Raw genomic sequence first — 27,339 nt, forward strand, 5'->3', positions numbered from 1 at the left:
CTCTTCTAGTATTTTAAGCTGACTTACTGTACCTACATCTCCACTGGTTCTTTCCCTTGCCACCTGCCAGACAGCTGGATGTTACAGTGCAAGGATGCAAGGTCTCTGGGTCGCAGTCCTTCTTTGCTTATTATTAATTTTGCAGAGGCTGTGTGAAGTTTGAAATAAGTGCACCGTCTGAATTTCACAACTCTTTCCACTGAACTGAGGGAAGGCACCGGGCAGTATAGCTGAGATCAGGGCCTGTGACCTGTTGCTTCTTTGTCGTGGAAACCCTCTGCGTCATTGATAGAGGGCAGCATTCTGCATGTAAATGCCAACAAGTGCCAGTGCTCTGCTCTGCTCATAGCAGATTTCTACTACACAAGGGTGCAGAATGTCCCTCCTGTATTTCTGACCTTGGGGGACAGTCTTTCCCCTCCCTTAATTCTGAGCCCCTCCTCAGAGGTACCTTCAGAAAAACAAATGAGTCAGTCACCTTTTCTTTTTATTTATTCAGTTTATTTTATTTATTTATTTTATTTTTATTTATTTATTTATTTATTTATTTGAGATGGAGTCTTGCTCTATCTCCCAGGCTGGAGTGCAATGGCACGATCTTGGCTCACTGCAACCTCCATCTCCCAGGTTCAAGCAATTCTCCTTTCTCGGCCTCCCAAGTAGCTGGGATTACAGGGGCCCGCCACCACACCCAGCTAATTTTTGTATTTTTAATAGAGATGGGGTTTCACCATGTTGGCCAAGCTGGTCTCAAACTCCTGACCTCAGGTGATCCACCTGCCTCGGCCTCCCAAAGTGCTGGGATTACAGGCGTGAGCCACCACACCCAGCCAAGTCACCCTTTCTTGATGCAAGAGTTGCAGACCCTCAGGACAGAGCCATGTGAGGATATGGTCACAGTGGACTACTTTGGGGAAGGGGCTTGTGCTGGGGCAGGGGGAATCTGATTGCTTCAAGGGTCCCTTTCACAACTACTGGAGAGCTCCACAGCTCTCATTAGTGACAACCTTCATCAGCCTCCAAACAAAGAGGGTCACTAGAGGCCCTCAGGGGAAGCCTCACTACACCAGCGGAGATGTGATGGAGCGGGTCCATGCCTGGAGAACAGTGTGAACCGGATCCATGGCTGCCAATTCTCAGTCCATACCTAAGTACCAGCCCCTGACAAGTACCAACTGATGTGTAGGAAACGATACACACACATCAGTAGATGTTGGCATAAAGTTACCAACTGTCCTTTCTTAGGAAATACTGTCTATTATCCTGAGACTTGGGGTGCTCAAAGCTCCTTTCTTTTATGAAATTATGGTGACAATGGATTGTTGAATAGAAACTTTGTTAAGCAACCCCTCACTTAACCAACTTATTAGGTCAACCAATACCCTTCAGTCTCTTACTGGAGCACACTGACTAAGCCTGAGGCACAGAGTGCTCACAGCTGGCAGGCTCTTCTCTGCTCTCACAGTTGTGGTACCTGGTTAACAAGAATGCATTTGGGCCCATACTTGCTTATGCTGGTCATACGTGTTAACTAGAATGATGTACTTGAATCAATTCACCTGTAAACAAAGGAATTGGCCGGGCGTGGTGGCTCACGTCTGTAATCCCAGCACTTTGGGAGGCCAAGGCAGGGGGATTACCTGAGGTCAGGAGTTCGAGACCAGCCTGGCCAACATGGTGAAACCCTGTCTCTACTAAAAAATACAAAAAAATTAGCCAGGCATGGTGGCAGGTGCCTGTAATCCCAGCTACTTGGGAGGCTGAGGCAGGAGAATTGCTTGAACCTGGGAGGCTGAGGTTGCAGTGAGCTGAGATCACGCCACGGCACTCCAGCCTGGGTGACAGAGAAAGACTGCACCTCAAAAAAAAAAAAAAGAAAAGAAAAGAAAAAGAAAATACAAAGGAATTTAAACAGAAAGACTATTGACCAATAAAATAAGAGTGTAAAAAAAAAGAGAACGGTTATCTCTACAAAAACTAAACTGCTTTGGAAAGACACTATAAAAGCCTGTCACTTTTTAAAATGCTATCAAATTAGGAATGAATGAGAGAACTGTAAAATATCGGAAAGAAATGCATAAAAATGAAGAAAGATTTTGCAATCAGGTGGCTTCATAAGTTTCTAGAATTTCTTGCTTCATGTTAAAGAAACTGGAACTGAAACCCCAGGATCATGTGTGTGTGGTTTGTGCTTCAGGAAAGGCAATGGGCCCCACTTTTCAGCAGACTTGTAAGCAAAGCAAAGGCTTTAGGTCTACATCAAAATACTTGCTAATAACTACACATTTAGATATTTTAAGTCAAAATAAAACATGTAGAGGAAAAATAGCCTTGGCGCAGTGGCTCAAACCCGTAATCTCAGCACTTTGGAAGGCTGAGGCAGATGGATTACTTGAAGTCAGTTCAAGACCAGCCTGGCCAACATGGTGAAACCCTGTCTCTACTAAAAATACAAAATTAACCAGGTGTGGGCGAGTGTGGTAGCTGACACCTGTAATCCCAGCACTTTGGGAGGTCGAGGTGGGCAGATCACCTGAGGTCAGAAGTTCAAGACCAGCCTGACCAACATGGTGAAGCCCCGTTTCTACTAAAAATACAAAAATTAGCCAGGCATGGTGGCACATGCCTGTAATCCCAGCTACTTGGGAGGCCGAGGCAAGAGAATCGCTTGAAGTCGGGAGGCAGAGGTTGTGGTGAGCCAAGATTGCGCCACTGCACTCCAGCCCGGGTGACAGAGCAAGACTCTGTCTGGAAAAAAAAAGAAAAAAGAAAGAAAGAAAAGAAAAAATACAGTATATCTCTTTTATGAGTTCCGGGTTTAACAAACTTTTTCAATGAACTGACCAATTACCAATTCCTGTGAAATTGAATAAGAATTTACCTACTTGGTTCAGACATATTTGACTTTGGCAAAGAAAACTGAAAAGCTAAAAAAAATGTGCCTACTTGGTAGAATAAAAGGCTGATCACTGTATCTGTCCTTGCCAATCTAAAAAATTTATTGGTACATGAAATCAACCGATTCCAGCAGTCTCCCCTTTCCAAGGCTAAGCAGCTTTGAGCTCTATTTTTCAAGATGTCAAGCAAAGGTAGCCTTTCACCTCACTTGAGTGCAAATTTATCTTACTCATGGATTTTGGAGGTTGCCAACTCAGTAGTTTTTTTTTCTCCCTCAACTACTCTCAAACAGTACTATCTTCTGAAAGCCAATGATATGCACATAGTTCTCAAAAGGAGGCTGTCCAAAGCTTACAGGCTTATCAAGTGGAATCTTTTTTGACATGAGGCCTCACTCTGTCCCTGAGGCTGGTGTGCAGTGGTACCATCTCGGCTCACTGCAGCCTCAACTTCCTACGTTCAAGCGATCCTACCCCCTCAGCCTCTGGAGTAGCTGGGTCTACAGTCGTGCACAACCACACCCAGCTGATTTTTTATTTTTGGTGGAGATATCCTTTTTGTAGGCCTCCCTATGTTGCTCAGGCTGGTCTCAAACTCCTGGGCTCAATCGATCACCCACCTTGGCTTCCCAAAGTGCTGAGATTAGAGGCATGAACCACGATGCCTGGCCTGGAATCTTTAAATATTAATAATTCAAAAACCAAGAAGGGAAGCCCCAGCAACTTTAGATGGCTATAAATAATTAGGCACTCAATCAGGATTGAGTGCTTAGAAATCTTGGAGTTTGTTTTAACACAATGTGCTTTCCTGGAAATCATATAACAAGATAGTAAATGCTACCCTCACTCAGACCTGAGGAACCATATTTAAGATGGTTCCTCTTGCAATAAACGTGCTGGCCAGCCACCCAAATTCTGCCTTAGCAAAGTCATGATGGGGTGCGGGGATACGGCTGAGATGACACCCAGATACAAATCTATAGACATTATGAAACAATTTCCTTTCCTGCCTCTTGCGTATATCTGCCTCCCTCCTCTCGCCCCAGCTACTTCTCTAGCACTCTAAACTCTAGCTCAGGCTTGAGCAAACCGGGCTGGATTAGCAGCTGACTCCTACAGTCATAGCACTGCACAGAGAGAACCCAGACACTTCCTATCAGGACCACAAGGCAGAGATCTGCTCTGTCCAGCTCTGGAATTGACTGGACTGGCTCATGACTGTCAACCTATTTCTGAGAACATAAAAAGGTCCCTTTCAGACTGCCACCAATTCAGAGGGCTAGAATTTTAGATAAAAACAGTATATCCAGTAATCTGTTCTCTCTTGTAGACACTTCCTCGTTTTTTTGAGACAGGGTCTCGTTCTGTCACCGAAGCTGGAGTGCAGTGGCATGATCACAGCTCACTGCTGCCTAGAACTCCAGGGCTCAACTGATCCTCCTGCCTCAGCCTCCCAAGTAGCTGGGACCACAGACGCCTGGCTAATTTTTTTAATTTTTTTGTAGAGATAGCAATCCTCAAGCAATCCTCCTACCTCAGCCTCTGGAGTAGCTGGGACTGCAGGCGTGCGCCACCACACCCAGCTAATTAATTAATTATTGTAGGTCTCCCTGTGTTGCCCAGGCTGCTCTCGAACTCCTGGGCTCAATCAATCACCTGCCTTGGCCTCCCAAAGTGCTGGGATTAGAGTTGTAAGCCACCATGCCTAGCCCAGAATCGTTAAGAATTAATAATTCAAAAACCAAGGGAGGGAAACCCCAGTAACCTTAGATGGGTTTATCACGTTGCCCAGGCTTGTCTCAAACACCTGGACTCAAGTGATCCTCCTGGCTAAGCCTTCCAAAGCACTGGGATTACAAACGTGAGCCACCATGCCCGGCCTGTAGACACCTTTTTTCAAAGTTTGACTAAGGCAACCAAAAGGGATCAGAATGGATCGGTCTTCCCATGCTGTTTCACTGCTCTTCAGCAGCCCATGTCCACCATCCAGATGAAGGTAGAAGCAGCCCAATTCCTCCAGCCAAGCCAAATTGAGCTAAATTCTAGTCTTCCCTGTGCGTCTAGCTTAATGTCAGAAGTTTCATGGCAATAATCTTCACTGGGATCTATGATTTTATATTACCAGAAAAGATGAATCCGTTTCTATCCAACATAAGCATATACTTATACATTCTGGGTAGTGCTGGCTGCTTGAAATAAACTCTGAAATAAATCCACTTTATGCACAATAGTTGAAATGGCACAGTTACGCTCTGATCTAAGGCCTTATGTTATGCCATTTTTTTTTTTTTTTTTGAGACGGAGTCTTGCTCTGTCACCCAGGCTGGAGTGCAGTGGCGCGATCTCAGCTCACTGCAAGCTCCGCCTTCTGGGTTCATGCCATTCTCCTACCTCGGCCTCCCAAGTAGCTAGGACTACAGGCACCCGCCACCACACCCAGTTAATTTTTTTGTATTTTTAGTAGAGACGGGGTTTCACCATGTTAGCCAGGATGGTCTCGATCTCCTGACCTTGTGATCCGCCCACCTCGGCCTCCCAAAGTGCTGGGATTACAGGCATGAGCCACCGCACCCGGCCATGTTATGACTTTTATTCTTATACCTTGACTCATTCTAATTTGGCTCTGCTTTGAACTTTTCCATTTTAAGATCTCTCTGTGGGCGCTTCTTGCTCTGTAAATTTAAAACAGTCTGTGTCAAAAACAGTCTCACTCTGACCTGACCAGCTTAGATGACTAGCTCAAGAATAGTCAAGCTTGCTTGGGCTCCATGAAGTCCCCCAGAGCGGAAAAGCCCTTGAAATTCTAGGGAATGATCTTTGAGGTCATGGGAGCAGGATCTCTCCACCAAGGTCACCAATGCCAGATGCCCTTGGGGTGTCCATAGCTGTGAGAAGTCAGGCAAACCCCAGGACACATTGATATGGACTGCTAAACATGCCTACAGCCTCCTACCTGCTGGGTCACCGGCCTGTGGTGCTCAGGGATAGCTCGTCATCTCTTCCCAAGCCATGATGCCTTTCCCTGACACTTTATCCCCAGCCCCTCCCTACAATCCCCCCATCCAACAAAAATCAACCTAGATGAAGTGATAGACCTTTGTCCTCCAGCCAGAGGACATCGTAGCCCCTCATCTCTCCTCAATTTTCAGGAGAGGAAAAAGGAGTCTGTCCACGTCATGCTTCTGGGCAGTCAATCCTGAAATTCCTTAGGTTGTTTGGCCCAGGACTGCCCTGCCAGAATAGTGAACACCGCTGCCTGTGCTCTGAGAGATGCCTTCTACTCCAAATACACTGCTTATTCATTGAGTCAACCAATAAACATTTGAGAACCCATCATGTGCCAGACAGTAACTAGGCACGGGGGATATGGGAGTGAATGAGACAAAGTCCCCACTTAAGGCACCACACAGCCTAGTGGAGATGGGGAAAATGACAAACACAGACCCCACTACATAAGTCATTTCACCAAAGGAAATAAAGCGGAGCAACAAGACAGAGAGAAATTGGAGGTGGGCTGCAGGGGCCACTGCCCCCTAAGTGGCCAAGGAAGGCCTCTTCTAAGAGGTAACATTTAAGCTGAAATGTGATGATAAAAAGGAGCTAACTATTCACCAGTCTGCGGGAAGAGCATTCTGGAAAGGAGGAATAGCAAATGCCAAGGCCCTAAGAAGGGAGCAAGCCTTATCTTGTTAGAAGGACAGAAGAAAAGCTGGTGTGCATGGAGCAGAGCCTTTGAGAGGGAGGGTGGATGGAGTTGGGGGTGAAGGGGCAGCCAGCAGCCCATGGATCCCCTGAGAACTTGCAGGCTGGGAGAGAAACCATCAGAAGGCTATAAGCAGGGAGTAATCAGGTCTGTGCTTGGAAAAGATCACTCTGGTTGCTGGGACGAGAATGGACTCCATGGCAGAGAATGAAAGAGGAAGACCAGGCAGGGAATGGTTGCTTGGACTAGCAATCATTGTGGGCTTGGTAACCACAGAGATGATGAGACGTGGTGGGGTTCAGGGTACTTTCTGGAAGGAAGGCTGTCAGATTGCTAAAATAAAGATAATAACTCTGTCTGGGTGTGGTGGCTCACACCTATAATCCCAGCACTTTGGGAGGTCGAGATAGGCAGATCACTTGAGGCCAGGAGTTCGAGACCAGCCTGGCCAACAAGGTAAAATCCCATCTCTACTAAAAACATGAAAATTAGCCAGGCATGGTGGCAGGCACCTGTAGTTTCAGCTACTTGGGAGACTGAGGCAAGAGAATTGCTTGAACCCGGGAATCAGAGGTTGCAGTGAGCCGAGATCTCACCACTGCACTCCAGCCTGGGGAACAGAGTGAGACTCTTTCTCAAAAAAAAAAAAGATAGTCCAGCATCTGTAAATGAGCATGATCCCTGTGTGAGCAGCAGTGTATGTGTATACACACACACACACATGCAGACACATGCACATACACACTATCCTCCTTATACAAACAGTGCAGACTCCAGGCTCTGGAGTCAAATGTGTTCAAATTCCAACTCATCTGCTTACTTGCCATTAAACTTGGTTCAAGTCACTGAACCTCTCCATCCCTAGGGTTCTCTGTCTGTAAAAAGGGGACAGTAATAGAAGTGCCTCATGGTTGTCATGAGGATTAAATTAGTTACTACATGGGAAGCATCTAAGGAAGGGCAACTGCCACATACCGTATGAGTTTCCTGTTGCTGCTGTAACAAATTAGCACCAATTTCGTGGCTCATTAAAAACAACACAAATTTATTCTCCTGCAATTCTGGAGGCCAGGAGCTCAAGATCAGTTTCAATGGGCTCAAGTCAAGGCGTGGGCAGGGCTGGTTTCTTTTGGAGGCTCCAGGCAGGGGAATCCATTCCTTTCCCTTTCTGGCATCTGAAGGCTGCGGCATTCATGGCCCCTGCTCACGTCACACCCACGTCCACTTCCATCATCACTTTGTCTCTACCTCTTTGACCTTCTGGCCTCTTTCTTATGAGGACCCTTGTGGTGATATTTTGGGCCCACCTGAATCAGCAAGAATAACCTCTCTATCTCAAAGTCCTTAACTTACATACATCTGCACTGTCCCTTTCTGCCACAGAAGGTAACAGTCACAGGTTCTGAGGATTAGGACACAGATATCTTTGGGGGCCATTATTCAGCCCATAACATGTGGTAGGCAATAAATAAAGGTTCATTGTATTACGATAATGGTACTTCATGATAATAATGATAACATTTTTCTCATTATCATCTTCATCATTCCCATGAAAGCCCCAGAGCATATCCCTAGCCCCCTCCTCAACTATGTAGGAGAGGAGGGGACGTTTAGAAAACCCCAACTCCTAGAAGCCCCCTGAGACTTGGCCCCAAGCCCAACCCAGAGCTAGGGGCAATGCTGGCTGATCAGGCAGAGGCACCAGTCCCCGGGTTGGTCCTGATGAGGGGAGCAGGGGGCAGACGGTCGATGAGGCAGGAGTGTGCTCACAGCCTGGGGTCCAAGAAGGAGCCTGGAGTGCAGGCTAAGGCCTGCTGATGGTGCTGTATTCCGTGGGCTCCTCAGGGCCCCTGCCGGGGAGGTGGCTACTGAGGTGGCCCATGTTGCAGTAGGTCGGTTCCTGATCCTCAGCACCCAAGGTCAGAGATGCATAGGAAATGTCCTCCTTCGGCAAGGAAGCCTGCAGCAAAGGCGGGCTCCAGGTCAGAGAGGACGGCAGGAAGTGACGGTCACGGGGCAGAGGAGCCCTCGGAGGAGGATAGTGGGGATGGACCATTCAGGGCTTCTAATCCCACTCAAGCCCTCCAGCTTCCCCCTTCACTCTGCCAAGCACCCTGAGCTTCAACCACAACAGAACAGATTCTCCCCCAACCCTGCACCAGTGCAGCACATTTCCTGTGGAATCCCAAGTCACTCAGCCTGTCTGGGACTCTGCTGCCCACGTGGGGACTGTGTTTGCCAGTCCCTGTGTCCCCAGGACTGAGACTTGCCTGTGGGAGCTCCTAGGCGAGTCCTGCAGTGACTATGGCTTTGCCCCACACCTGCCTCCTCTATGCCCACATGAGCAGGAGAAAGCCCACCCTCCAACGGGGTGCAACGGCAGGCCTGTGTCCCCCTGCCCCAGCCTCACAGCAGCCCCCATGGAGGACGCACCATGGTGACATATTCCACTTCCACCTGGTCAACCTGGGCAGAGGAAAGCTTCGTGGTAGCCTTTTGCGGGGAGGTTCCGGCCAGCTGCAGGGTCAGGTCTGCATAGCAGAGGTCGCCCTCCAGGGGCTGCAGTACCTGGGACAGGGAACACAGGCTGGGGAGTCACAAGATCTGTCTGTGGACACAGGTTCCTTTTCCACGGTGGGACGGGACGAGAGCCTCTCCACTTCCCCAGGTGCCCCTCTCCCATTTCCCTCCGTGTCCTCCACTTCTCAGGCTCCTGTACCCCTCAGCCCTTGTCCCCCTGGCTGTTTCCAGGCCCTCAGCCCCCAGGCCCTGCAGGGTGCCATGAGGACAGGATACTTTGGCACAGGACTTCTCTGATATTTTGGACCTTCTGAGAGATGGAAAATGAGGAAGGGGAAAGAAGCTGCCTGGTCTCTCTGGTCCGACCTTGGGGGCTATCTTACCTGCTCTGGGGACATCCCGGCTGCTAAAAGACAAACAACAATTCAGAATTAGAAAGCCCATTCCCCAGACTCACAAGAACCCCCAGGTCTAGGGAAGAGAAATATGGAAGAAAAGAGGTGAATTGGGTCCAGGCTCAGAGACAGGGACCTGGTTCTAATTCTGATTCCTCAGATGACACAGTCTGTGACATTCGTCATGTCACCTCTCTGACCTTTCACTTCTCCACCAGGAAAAGAGGGACACCCCAGCCCCCTGCTCCCCACATCATAGAACTGTGCACTCAGCTGATCGGGTGGCCCTGCCAGCCATCGGCTCCCCTGGGAGTAAGTTTGCTTCTGCAGAATCCCAACTCGGCCTGGAATTCCACCATGTCTCTCTACCTGATTCATCCTTCAGGGGTCAATTCAAAGTCATGCCTGCCTTCTGCAGCTACCCAGGCTGTCTAATCCCCCTCCCGGGCCCCCGGGGGGCACTTGCTCTATGTCTGTCTCATCATCTTCGTCCTACTGAATTCTAGTTAGTCCTCAGGTGGGCTGTAAGCTGCAGGGTGGCTGGGCCTGTCCCTTCCTTACAACCTGGGTGCTTGGCTGTGCTGAGCAGGTGGTGCTCCATCAGTAAAAGTTGTCTGCAGAGACAGGAATGCACCAAGCTGTCCCCCAACCCCGAGTAGAATGTGCAAGCTGGGTCGGCACAGTAGGGACCGATTTTGTTTGGTTTGGTTTGGTTTGGTTTGGTTTGGTTTGGTTTGGTTTGGTTTGGTTTTGAGATGGAGTTTCTCTCTTGTCACCCATGCCGGAGGGCAATGGCACCATCTTGGCTCACTGCAACCTCCACCTCCTGGGTTCAAGCGATTCTCCTGCCTTAGCCTCCTGAGTAGCTGGAACTACAGATGTGTGCCACCATATCCAGCTAATTTTTTTGCATTTTTAGTAGAGAAGGGGTTTCACCATGTTGGCCAGGCTGGTCTCGAACTCCTGACCTCAAGTGATCCACCCGCCTCAACCTCCCTAAGTGCGGAGATTATAGGCATGAGCCACGACACCCAGAGATTGGATTGGATTGTTTTTCCACTGGGACCGATTTTCAGGTGGTTGCTGGTCCCTGTCTTCTTTCTCCCCTCCCCAGCCACCAGCCCCACATCCCTGCCCTAGGGACAACAAAGAAATGGGGGGTTTTCCCCTGGTTTCAAAAGTCTAGATGCTGGAGAACACAGAAAGCACTTAGACCTTAGGCCGTGGGCAATACATTTGGGAGAAAAAGCGATGAATAAAAGTCAGGCTCTAATTTTGAAAAAGCATCACAGAAAACAAACTAACAGAGAGTCAGGCTCCCCTCTTCCCAGGCGAAAGATTTCCCAGGCTGTGGGGAGGGAGAAGTGTTGGAGGGAACCCTGTGAGAGTTAGGACCCAGCTGTTCTAGAAGAGAAAGAGGTACAATTGTGTGAGAATGTGGAAGTGAAGCCACATTCTCACACAACTGGGGTTTTGTTGAGGCCAGGCCTCATGATCTGTGAGTGTAGACTCCTGCGCCAAGAGGCTCCTCCCTGAAGAGCTAGTTCACAAAGGGCAAGTAGGTCAGCCTGGGAAAGTCCAGTGGGCAAGGGAGGGACAGAAGGAAAGGCCATTCCAATTTCCTGATCAGACTTGGAGGGCTGTGTGTGTGTGTGCATGCTTGTGTAATGTGATGAGTGCACATGCACTGTGGGATCCATGCAGTGTGTGTGCCCATGATCGCGCATGTGTGTGTGCATCCACTGGTGTGTTTGTGTCTGTTTCTCCCTCCCCATTCCATGTCAGCTCAGTACCTCCTTGACAACCACATAGACCCAACTCTAGCGTCTAGTCTAGACACCCCAGACTGGACCACCCACCTAAGACCATTGCCACCTATGCCATCAAGAGTCAATCCAGGAAAGAGACAGGGAGGTGGATCAGAGAGAAGAGAAGGGGAAGGACGGAGGTGCAGGGCAGGCGGCGAATGCCAAAACCTCCTGGGGCTCCCCTGCAAGCTCCAGGGCGCCCCCCGGTCCCCTGGCACTGCCAGCTGCTGAGGGCCTTTGGGACTGTGCCATTTCCTGATTGTGTGGGTAATCCCTTGGACCAGATAGCTCCCAGATGCCACATCCCCAGCCACCCGGCCCAGTCTCAGCCCAGCCTCACCCAGGTCCTCTCACCTTTCTGCTGGTACTTCATCATCCTCCAAGCCAAGAGTGAGGCGGCCACCAAAAGCAGCAGCAATATGGTGAAGATGAGGGGCAGGAGGACACTGAGCTTCAGGAGCTTGTGCCTAGAAACAATGGCAAGCGTCCCCTGCATCCCAGGCTCACCACCTGCCTCTCAGCCCAATCCCACCCACCCAGCAGCAGGGGAGGGCCACACACCTGATGAGCTGCAGGTCTGTAGTTTGCAGCCTGGGAACCCTCACTCCTGGGGATCCTCAAAGATGGGTTTACAATGAGTACACATAGACACAAAGAAGGGAATGGAACAAGAGACACCAGGGCCTACTTGAGGATGGAGGGTGGGAGGAAGCAAAGAATCAAAAAACTACAAACTACCTATTGGGTACTATACCTATTACCTGGGTGACAAAATAATCTGTACACAAAACCCCGGTGACGTGCAATTTACCGATATAACAAATCTGTACGTGTACCCCTGAAGCTAAAATAAAAGTTTTTAAAATTTAAGAATTTTAACAAAAGATAGTTGTTTTTGGTTTTCTTTGTTTTTCATTTTTTTGACACAGAGTCTTGCTCTGTCACCCAGGCTGGAGTACAGTGGCATGATCTCGGCTCACTGCAACCTCCACCTCCCAGGTTCAAGAGATTCTTCTGCCTCAGCCTCCCAAGTAGCGGGGATTACAGGCACCCACCACCACACCTAGCTAATTTTTGTATTTTTAGTAGAGACAGGATTTTGCCATGTAAGCCAGGCTGGTCTCGAACTCCTAACCTCATGATCCGCCCACCTCAGCCTCCCAAAGTGCTGGGATTACAGGCGTGAGCCACAGCGCCCGGCCTTAACAAAAGATAGTTTTTAAAAGGAGAAAAGGGTTCCATGAGGTGGTTTTAATGTGTCTAGAAGCCTAACAGAAATTGTAGGGCAGCAGACTCCTAAAACACCTCCTGCCTCTACACCTGCCCTCTCTACTGGGTTGAATAGCGTCCTCTTCCCCTCGAATTCACATCCACTCAGACCCGTGAATGTGACCTATTTGTGGATGTAATCAAGTTAAGATGAGGTCATAGTTGATTAGCATGGGCCCTGATCCAGCGACTGGTGTCCTTACAAGAGGGAAATTTGGACACATAAACACACACAGGAAGAAGACCATGAGACGACAGAGACAGGGATCAGAGTGATGCCGCCACAAGACCGGGAACACAAAGGATCGCAGGCGCCCACCAGCAGCTGGAACAGAGGCATGAGACAGACTCTCCCTTTGAGCCCCCAGGGTGGCAACAGCCCTGGTGACACCTTGATTTCCAATTCCTGGCCTCCTTAGCTGTGAGAGAACGTATTTCTTTTGCTTTGAGCCACTCGTAACGGCGGCCACAGGACACTGACAGGCCCTACTGTAGTGGATCATTGCCACAGCAGCCGGGGGGCCTGTGAACCAAACGTCAAAGCACACCCCTCTCTTTCTCAAAATTCTGCAACAGGCCAGGCACAGTGGCTCATACCTGTAATCCCAGCAACTTGGGAGGCTGAAGTAGGCAGGTCACTTGAGGTCAGGAGTTCAAGACCAGCCTGACCAACATGGTGAAACTCCGTCTCTACCAAAAAATACAAAAATTAGCTGGGTGGGGTGGCGTGTGTCTGTAATCCCAGCTACTTGGGAAGCTGAGGTGGGAGAATTGCTTGAACCCAGGAGGCGGAGGTTGCAGTGAGCTGAGATCGCGCCACTGCACTCCAGCCTGGTCGACAGAGCAAGACCCTGTCTCAATAAATAAATAAATAAATAAATAAATAAACAAACAAACAAACAATCAAAATAAAATAAATAAATAAATAAATCCCGTAACAGCCCCATTTCAGCCCATGAAAATGGCCAGGGCTGACAATGGCCTCCACTCCTGCCTACGACTCACCCCTGCCTGCTTCACTCCAGCCTCACTTCCTGCTGCTCCTCAAATATTCCAGGCACATCCCCACATTACGGACCTTATTCCAGTTGCATTTTTCTCCAGGAACATGCTCCCTCCAGAGCTCTGTGTGGCTCACTTTCTCACCTCTTCCAGTCTTTGCTCAAGAATCACTCGACTGAGCGCGGTGGCTTACACCTGTAATCCCAGCACTTTGGGAGGCCGAGGCAGGCTGATCACATGAGGTCGGGAGTTCGAGACCAGCCTGGCCAACATGGCAAAACCCCATCTCTACTAAAAATACAAAATAACAGCCGGGTGTGGTGGTGCATTCCTGTAATCCTGGCTACTCCCAGCTGCTTGGGAGGCTGAGGCAGGAGAATCGCTTGAACCTGGGAGGCGTAGGTTGCAGTGAGCCGAGATCCTGCCACTGCACTCCAGCATGGGTGACAGAGCAACACTCCGTCTCAAAACAAACAAACAACAAAAAAAACTGTTGTGGGCTGGGCTGGATTGTACACCACCACCCCCCCACCCCAATCCATATGTTGAAGTCCCACCCTTTAGTATCTCAGAATGTGATTGTATTTGAAGATAGGATCTTTAAAGAGGTGATTGAGGTTAAGTGAGGTCACTGGGGCAGGCCCTAATCCATTATGACTGGTGTCATTAGAAGAGATCAGGACACAGACACACGCAGAGGGACGACCACGTGAACACATAGGAAAAAGATAGCCATCTACAAGCTGAGAAGACTCAGAAGAAACCAACCTTGTGGACCACTTGATCTCAGACTTTTAGCCTCCAGAATTGTGAGAAAATAAATTTTTGTGATTTAAGCCCCCATTCTGAGGTATTTTGTTAGGGGCAACCCAAGCAAACTAATATAAGGATTATCTCCTTCATCACTGGATGTGCAGAAATTTGAGAAAGAAATTCATCAGTCAATTAATTGTGTCAACCCTATTTGGTTACACTAATTAGCTCTAGATTGTAAGTACCTCGAGGGCAGGCATTTTGATTATTTGGTCCATTCTTGTACCCTTTTTAATTCCCTTAAACAGTGACAGGCTAGAGTGAGTGCTCAAGAGTTATGTGTTAAATAAATGAGTGAACAAACCATCTCATGCTAATCAAAGGCCCTAATCGGGCACTTACATAAGGCTTCGATTCATAAAATAATAAATAAATAAATAACCTTAACTATTACTTATTCAAAGCAGTTTGGTAGAAAATAAACTTTCAAATCAGAGGGTATCCTGTATTGATTTGCTTAGGAAAAAGAAAAATAGGGACAAAGCAAGGTGGCTTATGCTTTTAATCTCAGCACTTTGGGAGGCTGAGGTGGGCAAATCACTTGAGGACAGGAGTTGGAGACCAGCTTGGCCAACATAACAAAACCCCATCGCTACTAAAAATTGGCCGGGCATGGTGGCTTACGCCTGTAGTTGCAGCTACTCGAGAAGCTGAGGTATGAGAATCACATGAACCTGGGAGGTGGAAGTTGCAGTGAGCTGAGATTATACTACTGCACTCCAACCTGGGCAACAGAGTGAGAATCCGTCAAAAAAAAAAAAAAAAAAACAATTAGCTGGGTGTGGTGGTGGGCGACTATAGTTCCCCCAGCTACTCAGGAGACTGAGGCATGAGAATTGCTTGAACATGAGAGGCAGAGGTTGCAGTGAGCCAAGATGGCACCATGCACTCAAGTCTGAGCTACAGAGCAAGACTGTCTAAAAATAAAAAAAAAGAAAACTTTAAAAAGTTTAATTTAAAAAAAAAACAGAAGGCAAATGGGAGAGGGGGAGTAGAAGGGTCTCAGGTGGTTAGAATACCGGGGACCTCCCATAGGGATTTTGTGGCAAGGTCCCAGCAAAAGGAGAACTTGGCACTTGGCAGATCTAAAAACAAAGTCAAGAGGGCCAAGGAGAGTGAAAGGAAGAAATTAAAGGGGACGTTCCTCTTCTAGAAAGCCCAGCTGACTGCAGATGGTTGGGCAGGGCACTAAGAGGCATGACCTGAGCTATGGTGTAGAGCCCAGAGACTTCCATCCAAGCTCCAGCACCACCCTTCACTGAGGAAGGGACTGAGGCTCAGTTTCTTCTTCTGTAAAATGGGAACATTTGTATCTGCCCATTCTTCCACATGGGGTGGTTGTAGGAAAGGTCAAAGAAAACAAAATAATGCACAGGAAAGCCTTTTGTGAGCTGTCAGTTGCTCTAGAGATGTGAGAAACTATAGGCATCACTGTTCTTGCCATAATAGTAATCAGAGGAAAATTAAGGGAAACAGGACTTCCCCAAGCCCTCCTTTCCTTGTCCTCCCAGAAGTTGAACCAAGAGTCATCCCTGCGGCTCCATGACCCCACGCCCACACTCACATGAGACACACTGTCCTCACTGACTGCCAACTCATCGGTCTCCCACACTGAGCTCCACGGGGACAGTCCATGTCTGTGTCCCCAGAGCTCAGCACGGTGCAGCCATGTAGAAGTTATTATAACACAGTAAAAGTGGGGCGAACGAATGAATGAACCTACAAACAGCACTGAGCTGCAGAATGAAGGATCTGTGGAGACTGAAAGGACACCATGTGGCCTGACAGCAAGTGGGAAGGGCTCCCAGCTTCCTCATCCTCACCAAGGAGCATGCAGGTCCCAGACAAAGCTCAGGCTGGAAAATGGGACTTCAAAGAGTTCTCCATTGGAGGAGTTTGGGCCAAGTAGGCCACAGTGGAACCAGAGCTGGCTTACCTGTTGTCCAAGTGGTGGCCGGTCAGAGTTGGGGAGCTGCTAGTTTCTTCTTGGGTGACTGGTGCTGTAAACGTAGTGGAGGTAGGCGTGGTGGGGGCAGGAGTCGACGCTGTAGTTGATGCTTGGTGTATAAACCAGATCACAGATGCCCCTGCCCATGAGCCCACCCGCAGCCCTGCACACAGCTCTGAGCCTGGGCGGGGGTCTGGACTGCTACTATGGGAAGGGGCTGCAGCCTGGACCACTCATGTCTCCCTGGTCTCTAGGAGACTCCAGAGCCTCATAGGCAGGTGGGGCTGGGCAGGGTCCAGGGAGGACGCTGAGCTGGCCCTGGGAGGGTTAGAGGGGGCTGGGAAGAGCCTAAGGGCAGCTGGAGACCAGCTGAACTTGAGCAACCTGCTGCTTATGACAGTGCCTTGGTCAATCTCCACCCCCAGCCCTATTTATCCAGCAAAAACAGGAGCAGAGTGGGAACTTGCACAGTGACCCTAGATCTGTGACATCAAAGGTCAGGACCAGCCCTGAATGAAATCATCATATTCAGGAAGAACTTTGACTTTGGGCAAGTTACAAAACTTCAATGATGGGGATGCCCCCTTCTCAGGGGTATTGTGAGGACCCATTGAGACAATGCACGTTCAGCACTTTGCAAACTAGAATATGCCCCAGAGGCTCCGGGTGCAACCTGGGGCCCCAAGGACTGTGGTGCTCCTTCCATGCCACAAGGGCCCTCGAGCCATCCTGCTTATCTTCTGAGGGACAGCAGAACAAGCCCAACAAATAAACCCATGCAAACCGAGGCACTGGGACCCCTGAGCTAACGCTCCCAGGAGTGTCTGCATTCTAGAAGGACATAGGAAGAAATATCATTAAGTCCACACACACAAATGGCTCATGGTGGGATGTCAGGGACCAGGAATGCAGCCGTTTGACTGTGAAGACCTTTCTGGACTTGGGAATTAGACCCCAGCACCCCGACTATGCTGAGCCTCTTTTTCCCCCAGGTTAGATATGGAATGGGAGATGGGAACAGCAGCTATGAAGCCCCAGCCCAGAACTCCACCAAAAGCAGGACACACCTGGGCACCAGAGGTCTCCAAAAAGCAATGGCAAGGACTGGGGTCTCTGGGTACCATGGGAAGGCATCCCTTTGGCCCATGGGCTGAAACTGGGACCATCACCTTGTCCTCAGGCACTGAGCTGTGCAGAGGTAAAAAATGTGCCTAGAAAGGCTTAATCCCGTCGTGGAGGGAGCCCTGGGAGCCATGGGGGCATTGAAGAGAGGCCCTGCTCCCCCAGTCCCAGGTGGTCAGTCAGGGTTCTATGAGACTCGGGACTCAAGTGATAGATCACTCAGTGACAATTAAATCACTTGAGTAGGACCTCAGAGACCAGGACAGAGCAGGCCCTGAGAGACACACACATATATACACTCCCTCTTACCTGGGTCAATGGTCACTTGAACTGTGACCCCAAGGTCATTTCCAGTTTTCTCAATTCCACACCAGTAAGTGTCAGCATCAGTTTTCATGAGATCCTCCATGGTCACAGTGAACGTGCGGTTTTTCTGATTGTCCTTGATGGACACCCGGTCCCTCTTCACCTCCTGCTCTGACCCACTGGTTTTAACAAGGATCTTGCAGTCACGCCAAATAGCTCCTCGACACCACCACTTCAAGTAGGTCTCCCAGCCTGATCTGTAAACACACTGCACGGTCAAGGAGCCCCGCTCCAAGCCATTCACTGTTGTTGGACCGGTGATTTGAGTGACAATGGAGTAGCCTGGAAAACACAAATTCATGTGCTGTCACCTCCCACCCCAAGGGCAGGGCCACAGCTTTCTGTTTAGGGAATAGCTCCCAAATCCAAGTTTCACAGGTTAAATAACAGTCAAGGAAGAAATACACCTTCCGCAGACAAAACTTTTGTCCTTCAGCTTTCCACTGGGTCAAAGCCACCAGGAAAATCACTGAAGAGCACAACAACGGATCCCCCCAAAAATAAAAATATTGGCATAAGCAATAATAACTTCCTGCAGTTCACCCCTCTCTCCACCCTACGGCCAAGGTAATCTGTATATTTCAAGGAATGTCCTTTTGCAGCCATCTTTGTGTTAGTCCAGTGTGGTGGGGAGGAAATACCAGGAGACCCCTTTCCACAGGGTCTTACCTTGACTCTTAGCACTGATGACCCTCATGAGGTCGAGCTGAGGCAGCCACATCAGATGGCTGTGGAGAGGCTGTCCTGGTGGTCCTAATGATTTCTAGTGGTTCTGGAATAAACCACCCTGGATGAATGCCTTTGAAGTTGATCAAAACAGCAACGGCAACTGGTCTCCATGTGCTATAGGATCCATACAACACAGATCCCACTTTCTTTAATGAATTGCTTTGACCCCTTTGTCAAATTGCAAATTTGTGGATTTCCCATTCTGTTCCATTGATCTATTTGTCCACCTTTCTGCCAATCCTACATTCTCCTGATTACTATCACCTTGTAGAAAAGCAGGTATTATAGACAGTAAGGCAGTATTTACTTTTTTTTTTCTTTTTCTCTTTTTTTCTTTTGAAACAGGCTCTCACTCTGTCGCCCAGGCTGGAACACAGTGGCACAATCATGGCTCAATCATGGCTCACTGAAGCCTTCACCTCCCAGGCTTAATTGATCCTCCCACTTCAGCCTCCCAAGTAGCTGGGACTACAGGCACATGCCTCCACGCCTGGCTAATTTTTGTAGTTTTAGTAGAAACAGGATTTTGCCATGTTGTCCAAGCTGGTCTCAAACTCCCGGGCTCAAGCGATCCACCCACCTCAGCCTCACAAAGTGTTGGGATTACAGGCGGGCCCCACAACGCCTGGCCTGTATTTTCTTAAAATACATGTTTTCCTTCAAAATCATGTCCTTTGCAGCAACATGGATGTGGCTGGAGGCCATTATCCTAAGTGAATTAACGCAGAAACAGAAAACCAAATACCGCATGTTCTCACTTATAAGTGGGAGCTAAACATTGGTTATGCATGGACATAAAGATGGGAACAACAGGCAGAGGAGGGAAAGGGGCAAGAACAAAACAGAGGAGGGAAGGGAGCAAGCACTGAAAAAACTACCAATTGGGTACCATGTTCACTATCTGGGTGACAGGTTTGATTGAGGCTCAAACCTCAGCATCATGCAATATATCCATGTAACAAACCTGCACAGGTACCCACTGACTCTAAAAATAAAAAACATTTTAAAGGAAAAAAAAAATATATATATATATATATCCCAAAGTGCTGCGATTATAGGTGTGAGCAACTGTGCCTGGCCTTTTTTTTTTTTTTAAGTAAAGAAATATTTCCCTGTATCCGGAATCTTTCAAAGGTGAGAATATGAGAGAAAGAATAAAAAGAACATATATATATAAATTCCCAACATGAGGTTGGGAGTTCGAGATCAGCCTGACCAACATGGAGAAACGCCATCTCTACTAAACATAGAAAAATTAGCCTGGCATGATGGCACATGCCTGTAATCCCAGCTACTCGGGAGGCTGAGGCAAGAGAATCGCTTGAACCCGGGAGGCAGAGGTTGCAATGAGCCAAGATGGCGCCATAGCACTCCAGCCTGGGCAACAAGAGCAAAACTCCATCTCAAAAACAAAACAAAACAAAACAAAAACCAGCAGTTCAAGCACAACAACCAACGGCGCGGACAGAGGGCCTCAGTGTCAGAGAGACCCTGGGAAGGGGTGAGGACCACGGCAGCCTGGATTGGAGAGCAGGGTATCCATGCGAAGGCACAGCCCTCCTTCCACTCCAGCCCGGGTCCTGGGGAAAGAAGCGGGCCCTGTGACAAGAACACACAATGGGGAAAGGACAGTCTCTTCAATAAACAGTGCTGGGAAAACTCGACATCCACGTCCAGAAGAATGAAGCCGGACCTTTATCTCACAACATATACAAAAATCAACTCACAATAGAGAAGATGTAAATGTAAGACCTGAAACTTAAATCTCTCAGAAGAAAACCTAATGGAAAAGCTCCACAACATTGGTCTTGGCGATGATGTCTTGGAGAGGACGCCAAAAGCACAGGCAACAAAAGCAAAACTAGACAAATGGGACTCACAAAACCAAAGAGCTTCTGCACAGCAAAGGAAACAACCAAGAGAATGAAGCGACAACCTACAGAGTGAGAGAAAATATTTGCAAACCATAAATCTGACAAAGAGCTGATATCCAAAATACATAAGGAACTCAAACAAATCAGTAACAAGAAAACAAATAATCTAATTAAAAACTGGGCAAGGAATCTGACCAGATATTTCTCAAAAGAGGAGCTATAAATGGGCAACAGATCTATTTTTAAATGCTCAACATCTCTGATCACCAGAAAAATGCAAATTAAAACCAAAAGAGGGTCAGGCACAGTATTCACACTTGTAATTCCAGCACTTTGGGAGGCCACATTGGGTGGATCATCTGAAGTCAGGAGTTTGAGACCAGCCTAGGCAACATGGTGAAATCTTGTCTCTACTAAAAATACAAAAATTAACCAGGTGTGGTGGAGTGCACCTGTAATCCCAGCTACTTGGGAGGCTGAGGTGGGAGAATCGTCTGAACCTGGGAGGCGGAGGTTGCAGTGAGCCAAGATCGTGCCACTGCATTCCAGCCCGAGCAACAGAGTGAGACTCCATCTCAGAAAAAAAAAAAAAAATTAAAAGTGGTATATGACTGTATATCCTGCACATATTAAAAAGTTAATAAACCATGAATAAGATAAAAGGATATAATAATAAAAGGATATTTAAACAATGTTATGCCAATGAATTTACAATTTGAGATGGAATAAACAAATTCCTAGAAAAAAATTATACAGGCCAGGCACTGTGAGAGGCCGAGGCAGGTGGATCACCTGAAGTCAGGAGTTCAAGACCAGCCTGGCCAACATGGTGAAACCCCATCTCTACTAAAAATACAAAAATTAGCCTGGCGTGGTGGCACACACCTGTAGCCCCAGCCACTTGGGAGACTGAGACAGGAGAATCGCTTGAACCCAGGAGGTGGAAGTTTCAGTGAGCCGAGATCACATCACTGCACTCCAGGCTGAACAACAGAACAAGACTCCATCTCAAAAAAAAAAAAAAGAAAAAAGAAAAAGAAAGAAAAGAAAAAAAATACAATATGCTAAAATCAGCACAAAATAAATAGAAAACCTGAATCATTCCACAGCTATTATATTTAAATAAATCAAATCCCTTGTTTAAAACTTCCGCCAGAATAAAACTCCAGACCCATACAGCTTCAATGGAAATATTTACCAAACACGTAAAGAAGAAATAATGTCTATTTTATAGATAATTTTCCAGAGCATAGAAAAAGAAGATGAAATCCCAAATCCATTTCACGAGATTAACATAATCTTGATGCCAAAACCTGACAAGGGCAAAGCAAGAAAGTATTGTAGGCAAATATCACTCATTAACATAAATGCAAAAACCTGAAACAAAAGATCAGCATACGGAATCTGGTGATACATAAACAGGATAAAACATTATCACCAAGTTGGGTTTATGCCAAACACCCAAAATGGTTTTTAACATTAAAAAATCAATAAGGAGGCTGGACGCGGTGGCTTACACCGGTAATCCCAGCATTTTGGGAGGCCAAGGCGGGCGGATCAGGAGGTGAGGAGATCGAGACCATCCTGGCTAACACGGTGAAACCCTGTCTCTACTAAAAATACAAAAAATTAGCCAGGCGTGGTGGCGGGCGCCTGTAGTCCCAGCTACTCGGAGGCTGAGGCAGGAGAATGACGTGAACCCGGGGGGGCGGAGCTTGCAGTGAGCCGAGATCGCGCCACTGCACTCCAGCCTGGGCGACAGAGCAAGACTCCGTCTCAAAAAAAAAAAGGAAAATCAATAAGGAGGCCAGGCACGGTGGTTTACACCTGCAATCCCAGCACTTTGGGAGTCCGAGTCAGGCAGATCACGAGGCCAAGAGATCGAGACAATCCTGGCCAACATGGTGAAACCCCGTCTCTACTAAAAATTCAAAAAATTAGCTGGGCGTGGTGGCGGGCGCCTGTAGTCCCAGCTGCTCGGGAGGCTGAGGCAGGAGAATCGCTTAAACCCAGGAGGCGGAGGTTGCAGTGAGCCAAGATCACACCACTGCACTCCAGCCTGGAGACAGAGCAAGACTGACTCAAAAAAAAAAAGGAAAAAAGAAAATCAATAAGGGTAATATGCCATATTAACAGAGTCAAGGAGAAAAATCTTGTGATCATCTTAGGTGCAGAGAGAAGTAGTGATAGGAATCAACGCTCATTCATGATTTTTTAAAAACTCTTAGCAAACTAAGAGAACTGCCTTTATCTGATAAAGATTGTCTATCAAAAACCTCAGCAAGCACCACACTTAGTGCGAGACATTCATATGTACTTTATAATAATTTGTTAACATGGATGTTGAAGTTTTATGCACTTTTTTGTACATTTTATTTTCCACAATTAAAAAGACTTTTAGGACACCATAAACCAAGAGCCAAATTATTCTTTTTTTTTTGAGATGGAGTCTTGCTTGGTCGCCTGTCACCCAGGCCGGAGTGCACTGGTACGAACATGGGTCACTGCAGCCTCAAGTCCTGGGCTCAAGTGATCCTTTTGCTGTAACCTCTTATGTAGCTGGGACGACAGGACCACAGGCATGCACCACCATACCAGGCTAGTATTTTTTTTTTTGGAGAGACAAGGTCTCACTTTGTTGCCCAAGCTGGTCTCAAACTCCTGGACTCAACCGATCTGCCTGCCTTAGCCTCACAAAGTGCTGGGATTACAGGCTTGAGCCATCATGCATCACCAGCCAAATTATTCTTAACAGTGAAATACTATAGGCATTCCTATTGACATCATAAACAAAACATGAATTCCCAATATATATAATAACATGATTCTGGAAGTTCTTTTTTGTTTGTTTGTTTTTTTGAGATGGAGTCAGGCTCTGTCGCCCAGGCTGGAGTGCAGTGGCTCAATCTCGGCTCACTGCAAGTTCCGCCTCCCGGGTTCACGCCATTCTCCTGCCTCAGCCTCCTGAGTAGCTGGGACTACAGGCGCCCACCACCACGCCCAGCTAATTTTTTGTACTTTTGGTAGAGATGGGGTTTCACCGTAGCCAGGATGGTCTCGATCTCCTGACCTTGTGATCCGCCTGCCTTGGCCTCCCAAAGTGCTGGGATTACAGGCGTGAGCCACTGTGCCCAGCCTGGAAATTCTAATCAATATAGGAAGATAAGGAAAAACATAAAATGTATAATTATCAAAAGGGAAAAAAGTTAGAGAAAATTTTTTAATTTTAAATGAAAAAGTATTTTAATTCATAATTGAATTTAATAGAGTGGCTAAATAATAAACATGTAAAAATCAATGGCTTTCCTATAAACTGCTAATAAATAGTTGGAAAGTAAAGTAGAAAAGTGCTCATTTACATTAGCAATAAAAGTGTATTAAATTCCTAGGAATAACTTTAACAGAAACAATAAAGACTTATGGAAAAAAAGCACAGTGAGGCTGGGCGCGGTGGCTCACGCCTGTAATCCCAACACTTTGGGAGGCCAAGGCGGGTGGATCACTTGAGGTCAGGAGTTCGAGACCAGCCTAACCAACATGGTAAAACCCCATCTCTACTAAAAATACGAAAAAAAAAAAAAAATAGCCAGGCATGCTGGCACACCTGTAATCCCAGCTACTTGGGAGGCTGAGGCAGAAGAATCACTTGAATCTGGGAGGCAGAGGTTGCAGTGAGCCAAGATCGCGCCACTGCACTCCAGCCTGAGTGACAGAGCGAGACTCTGTCTCAAAAAAAAAAACAAAAAATCTGTTCTTGCCAGGCACGGTGGCTCATGCTTTTAATCCCAGCAACTCAGACGGCCAAGGCAGGAGGATCACTTGAGCCCAGGAGTTGAGGCTGCAGTGAGCTATGATCATGCCACCACACTCCAGCCTAGGCAACAGACTGAGACCCCAACTCAAAAAAAATAAAAAACCTTCCTTTCTCACAGAAAACAAACTTCCGGATGGGTATTTTTTTTCTTGGGTGTTTTAAAACGATAAATTATTTAGAAGAGGGAAACAGGGTAAGCACACTTGCTGCTTGTGGGTGGAAGTTCTGCAGGAGAGGCTGGCAAGAGCTGATGCATGCAGGTTCACAGTGGTATCCGGGCTCCATGTTGGCGCCCATAGCTGTGCCTGCTGGCTTTTCTGCCCACTTCAGACAGAGGTCCCAAACCACTCCCACTCCCAACACGACTCTCACATCTGCTCACTACCAAATTCTCTCATTTCCAGGTGTCAGAAAAAAAGCAGCCATACCTGTCCTGGTCTCACTGTGCCAATGCATTTCATAACATCTCACCCAAAGTCTGCCTTCTCCACTTACATGCTGAAACTCGGGGCCAAGTGTCCATGAGCCACTCCCTGCTCTTCCTGTACCAGCCTAGCAGTCCTGGACAAGTCACTTTCTTCCCCAAGACCTTTTCTCCAATCTGTCCCACCAGGATCTTCTGAAGCATGAGGCAAAGCCGTGCTGACCTCCCTCTTCCTCAGACGTGCCCAGTCCAAGCTCATTCCTACACAAGAGCCCTCGTATCTACTGTTCCCTGTGCCTGGAAAGCTGGTCCCGATCCTGTGTCTGATCCTTTTCCTAGGTCTCGGCTCGGACAGGCATCTGGGACCCTCTTCAGGGGGGTTGTTTCAGCCCACCTGACTTACAGCATCCCCCTACCTGGGTCCCACTGTAACATATCATCTTGTTCTGTTTTCCTCACAGTACTTATCACTTCTCACTTCTTGAAATTATTTTTTTGTTTTCTTTCTTTTTTTTTCTTTTTTCTTTTTTCTTTTTTTTTTTTTTTTGAAACAGAGTCTCGCTCTGTCACCCATGCTGGAAGGCAGTAGTGTGATTACAGGTCACTGCAGCCTCCAACTCCTGGGCTCAAGTGATCCTCATGCCTCAGCCTCCAGCCTCCCAAGTAGCTGGGACCATAGGCACATGCCACCATACCTGGCTAATTTTTGTACTTTTTGTAGAGACAGGGTTTCCACATGTTACCCAAGCTGGTCTCGAATCCCTGAGCTCAAGCAATCAGCCTCCCAAAGTGCTGGGATTACAGGAATGAGCCTCTTTCCCTGGCCTCCCTTCATTTTTAATAAAAATTGTATGCACCAACTTAAGGTGTCTCCTGCCCTCTGGCTCTGCCCACATCTCAGTCCCTCCTTTCCTCTACGTCCCTGCCAGTCTTATCTCCTCTTGACCTTTCCGTCCCTCAGCAACTTCTACTATTTCCTTCTGCCCCAAATGCCTAGAACCACCACTCCCTCTCTGCCCAGCAAACTCCCTCTTCCCTCCTTTCAAAGTCCTCCAGCCTCACCTCTTCCCTGACGCCTGCCCTTGCTCAGAACACCTCCACGCAGGTGACAGATCACCCAGTCCAGGATCAGGCAGTCGCCTGCTCTCCTGAGCAGCCCATGTTCCTCCTCTGCTTTTCCCTGGCCGGCGGGGCCTACAGTCTGTCCATTTCACATGATCAGCCCCTGGGGGTCAGGAATTCTGCCTTGCACTGGCTTCATTATGAAGGTCATGCCCTGTATTCCTGCCTTGGCAACGGAAATGCTAGGTGAATGGTGGGTATGTGGATGAAACGCACAAGGCTCATGCCATTAAGGACACCTTCTGGCCGGGTCCCTTCTTCCCTCTCTCAGCCACCTCCTCCTGCTTGCTAAGCTTCCCCAAGAAGACAGACCCAGGCCCGCTCACCTGAGAGCCAGAAGAGGAGCAGGTAGAGTGTCAGCAGGGGCATCTTCTCTTCAGACAGGTCCCCGTTCCCCTCAGTGGAGCCTGGCAGCAGGAACAAACTACAGACTCCCAGCCTTCTGCTGGTACTCACTCTCGCCCTTGAACTTCCTCCTTCAGTCACTTCCCATGGGTGAAAGAGACTAAAAGAGGAAGGAGGTGGTTGGTTGGGCACCGTGGCTCAGGCCTGTAATCCTGGCACTTTGGGAGGCCAAGGCGGGCGGATCACGAGATCAGGAGTTCAAGATCAGCCTGGCCAACATAGTGAAACCCCGTCTCTACTAGAAATACAAAAATTAGCCAGGCGTGGTGGCGCACACCTGTAGTCCCAGCTACTCAGGAGGCTGAGACAGAAGAATCGCTTGAACCTAGTAGGCGGAGGTTGTAGTGAGCCGAGATCGTGCCACTTGCACTCCAGCCTGGGTGACAGAACAAGACTCTGTCTCAAACAAAAACAAAAAAAAAAAAAAAAAGAGGAAGGAGGTGGAAAGGGTGAAATTTCGAGGCAGTTGACAATGCAAGGGGTCACAGGAATCATCAGCTTCTGAGAAGTACCTCTCTGTACACAGCCACCGTGGGTTCTCTAAAAAGAGAACTTCGTGGCTCCTCTGTCATGTGGAAACCTGCAGACAGATCCACTGGGTCTGGCCAGCCCTTATCCAATCCTCCAAACCTGGTGGGTTGGCTGGGGGCAGGGGCACGCGGCTCCACCAGAGGGGTCCTGGAGAGCCACGGCTGATAGACACGATGTCCTAAACCTGGAGCTTCAGGTGTAGCCAGATGCTTGGGAGCCCAGAAGGCCAGAAGTTCAAGAGGATTGAGGGGCACTTGTGGCCAAAGTCAGAAAGCCAGAGGAGAGATTCCAGACCAAAGGTTGGAAGGCAGCTATGAGGAGATTGGGTATCCAACCCCAGACTACAAGGCCAGGTACGGTGGCTCACACCTGTAATCTCAGCACTTTAGGAGGCTGAGGCAGGAAGATCACTTGAGGCCAGGAGTTCAAGACCAGCCTGGGCAACATGGCAAGGCTTCATCTCCACAAAAAAAAAAAAAAAAAAAAAAAAAAAAAGTCAGGCATGGTGGCTCATGCCTGTAATCCCAACACTTTGGGAGGCCAAGGTAGGCAGATCACTCCAGGTCAGGAGTTAGAGACCGGCCTGGCCAAAATGGT

General features: G+C 48.1%; 2 protein-coding genes across 25 annotated transcripts in view; one reads left to right on the forward strand and one right to left on the reverse strand.

The window, feature by feature from the left end:
• Window positions 1-27,339, forward strand: part of RAB37 (RAB37, member RAS oncogene family) — a 76,205-nt gene that overhangs the window by 15,561 nt on the left and 33,305 nt on the right. The gene's annotated exons all lie outside the window — the stretch shown is intronic.
• On the reverse strand, window positions 7,626-26,232 carry CD300LF (CD300 molecule like family member f). 24 transcript variants are annotated; one of them, XM_047435415.1, is made up of 9 exons: window positions 26,133-26,232; window positions 18,513-18,615; window positions 17,787-18,125; window positions 16,344-16,407; window positions 11,885-11,930; window positions 11,678-11,813; window positions 9,504-9,526; window positions 9,034-9,168; window positions 7,626-8,560 (listed from the first exon to the last, which is right to left on the reverse strand). In XM_047435415.1, exons 2-9 carry the CDS (start codon window positions 18,562-18,564, stop codon window positions 8,405-8,407), a joined length of 951 nt encoding a protein of 316 aa, XP_047291371.1. In that variant the 5' UTR covers window positions 18,565-18,615; window positions 26,133-26,232; the 3' UTR covers window positions 7,626-8,404. The 24 variants fall into 24 exon arrangements, 23 of the variants coding, with proteins under 23 accessions (XP_047291371.1, XP_047291368.1, XP_047291366.1 ...); XM_047435412.1 differs by having other exon boundaries at window positions 11,885-11,939; XM_047435410.1 differs by having other exon boundaries at window positions 11,885-11,939; window positions 16,344-16,452.

This window comes from Homo sapiens, chromosome 17 (genome assembly GCF_000001405.40).
Source record: "Homo sapiens chromosome 17, GRCh38.p14 Primary Assembly".
Classification (NCBI taxonomy): domain Eukaryota; kingdom Metazoa; phylum Chordata; class Mammalia; order Primates; family Hominidae; genus Homo; species Homo sapiens.

What these genes read in the sequence shown, in the direction of transcription:
- CD300LF (XM_047435407.1), bottom strand. Translation starts at nt 18,564, where the DNA reads ATGTGGCTGCCTCAGCTCGACCTCATGAGGGTCATCAGTGCTAAGAGT. An exon ending in GGCCACCACTTGGACAACAG is followed by an intron (nt 11,940 to 16,343) that starts GTAAGCCAGCTC and finishes CCCATCTTTGAG; the next exon opens with GATCCCCAGGAGTGAGGGTT. An exon ending in CCGGGATGTCCCCAGAGCAG is followed by an intron (nt 9,169 to 9,503) that starts GTAAGATAGCCC and finishes TCCCTGTCCCAG; the next exon opens with GTACTGCAGCCCCTGGAGGG.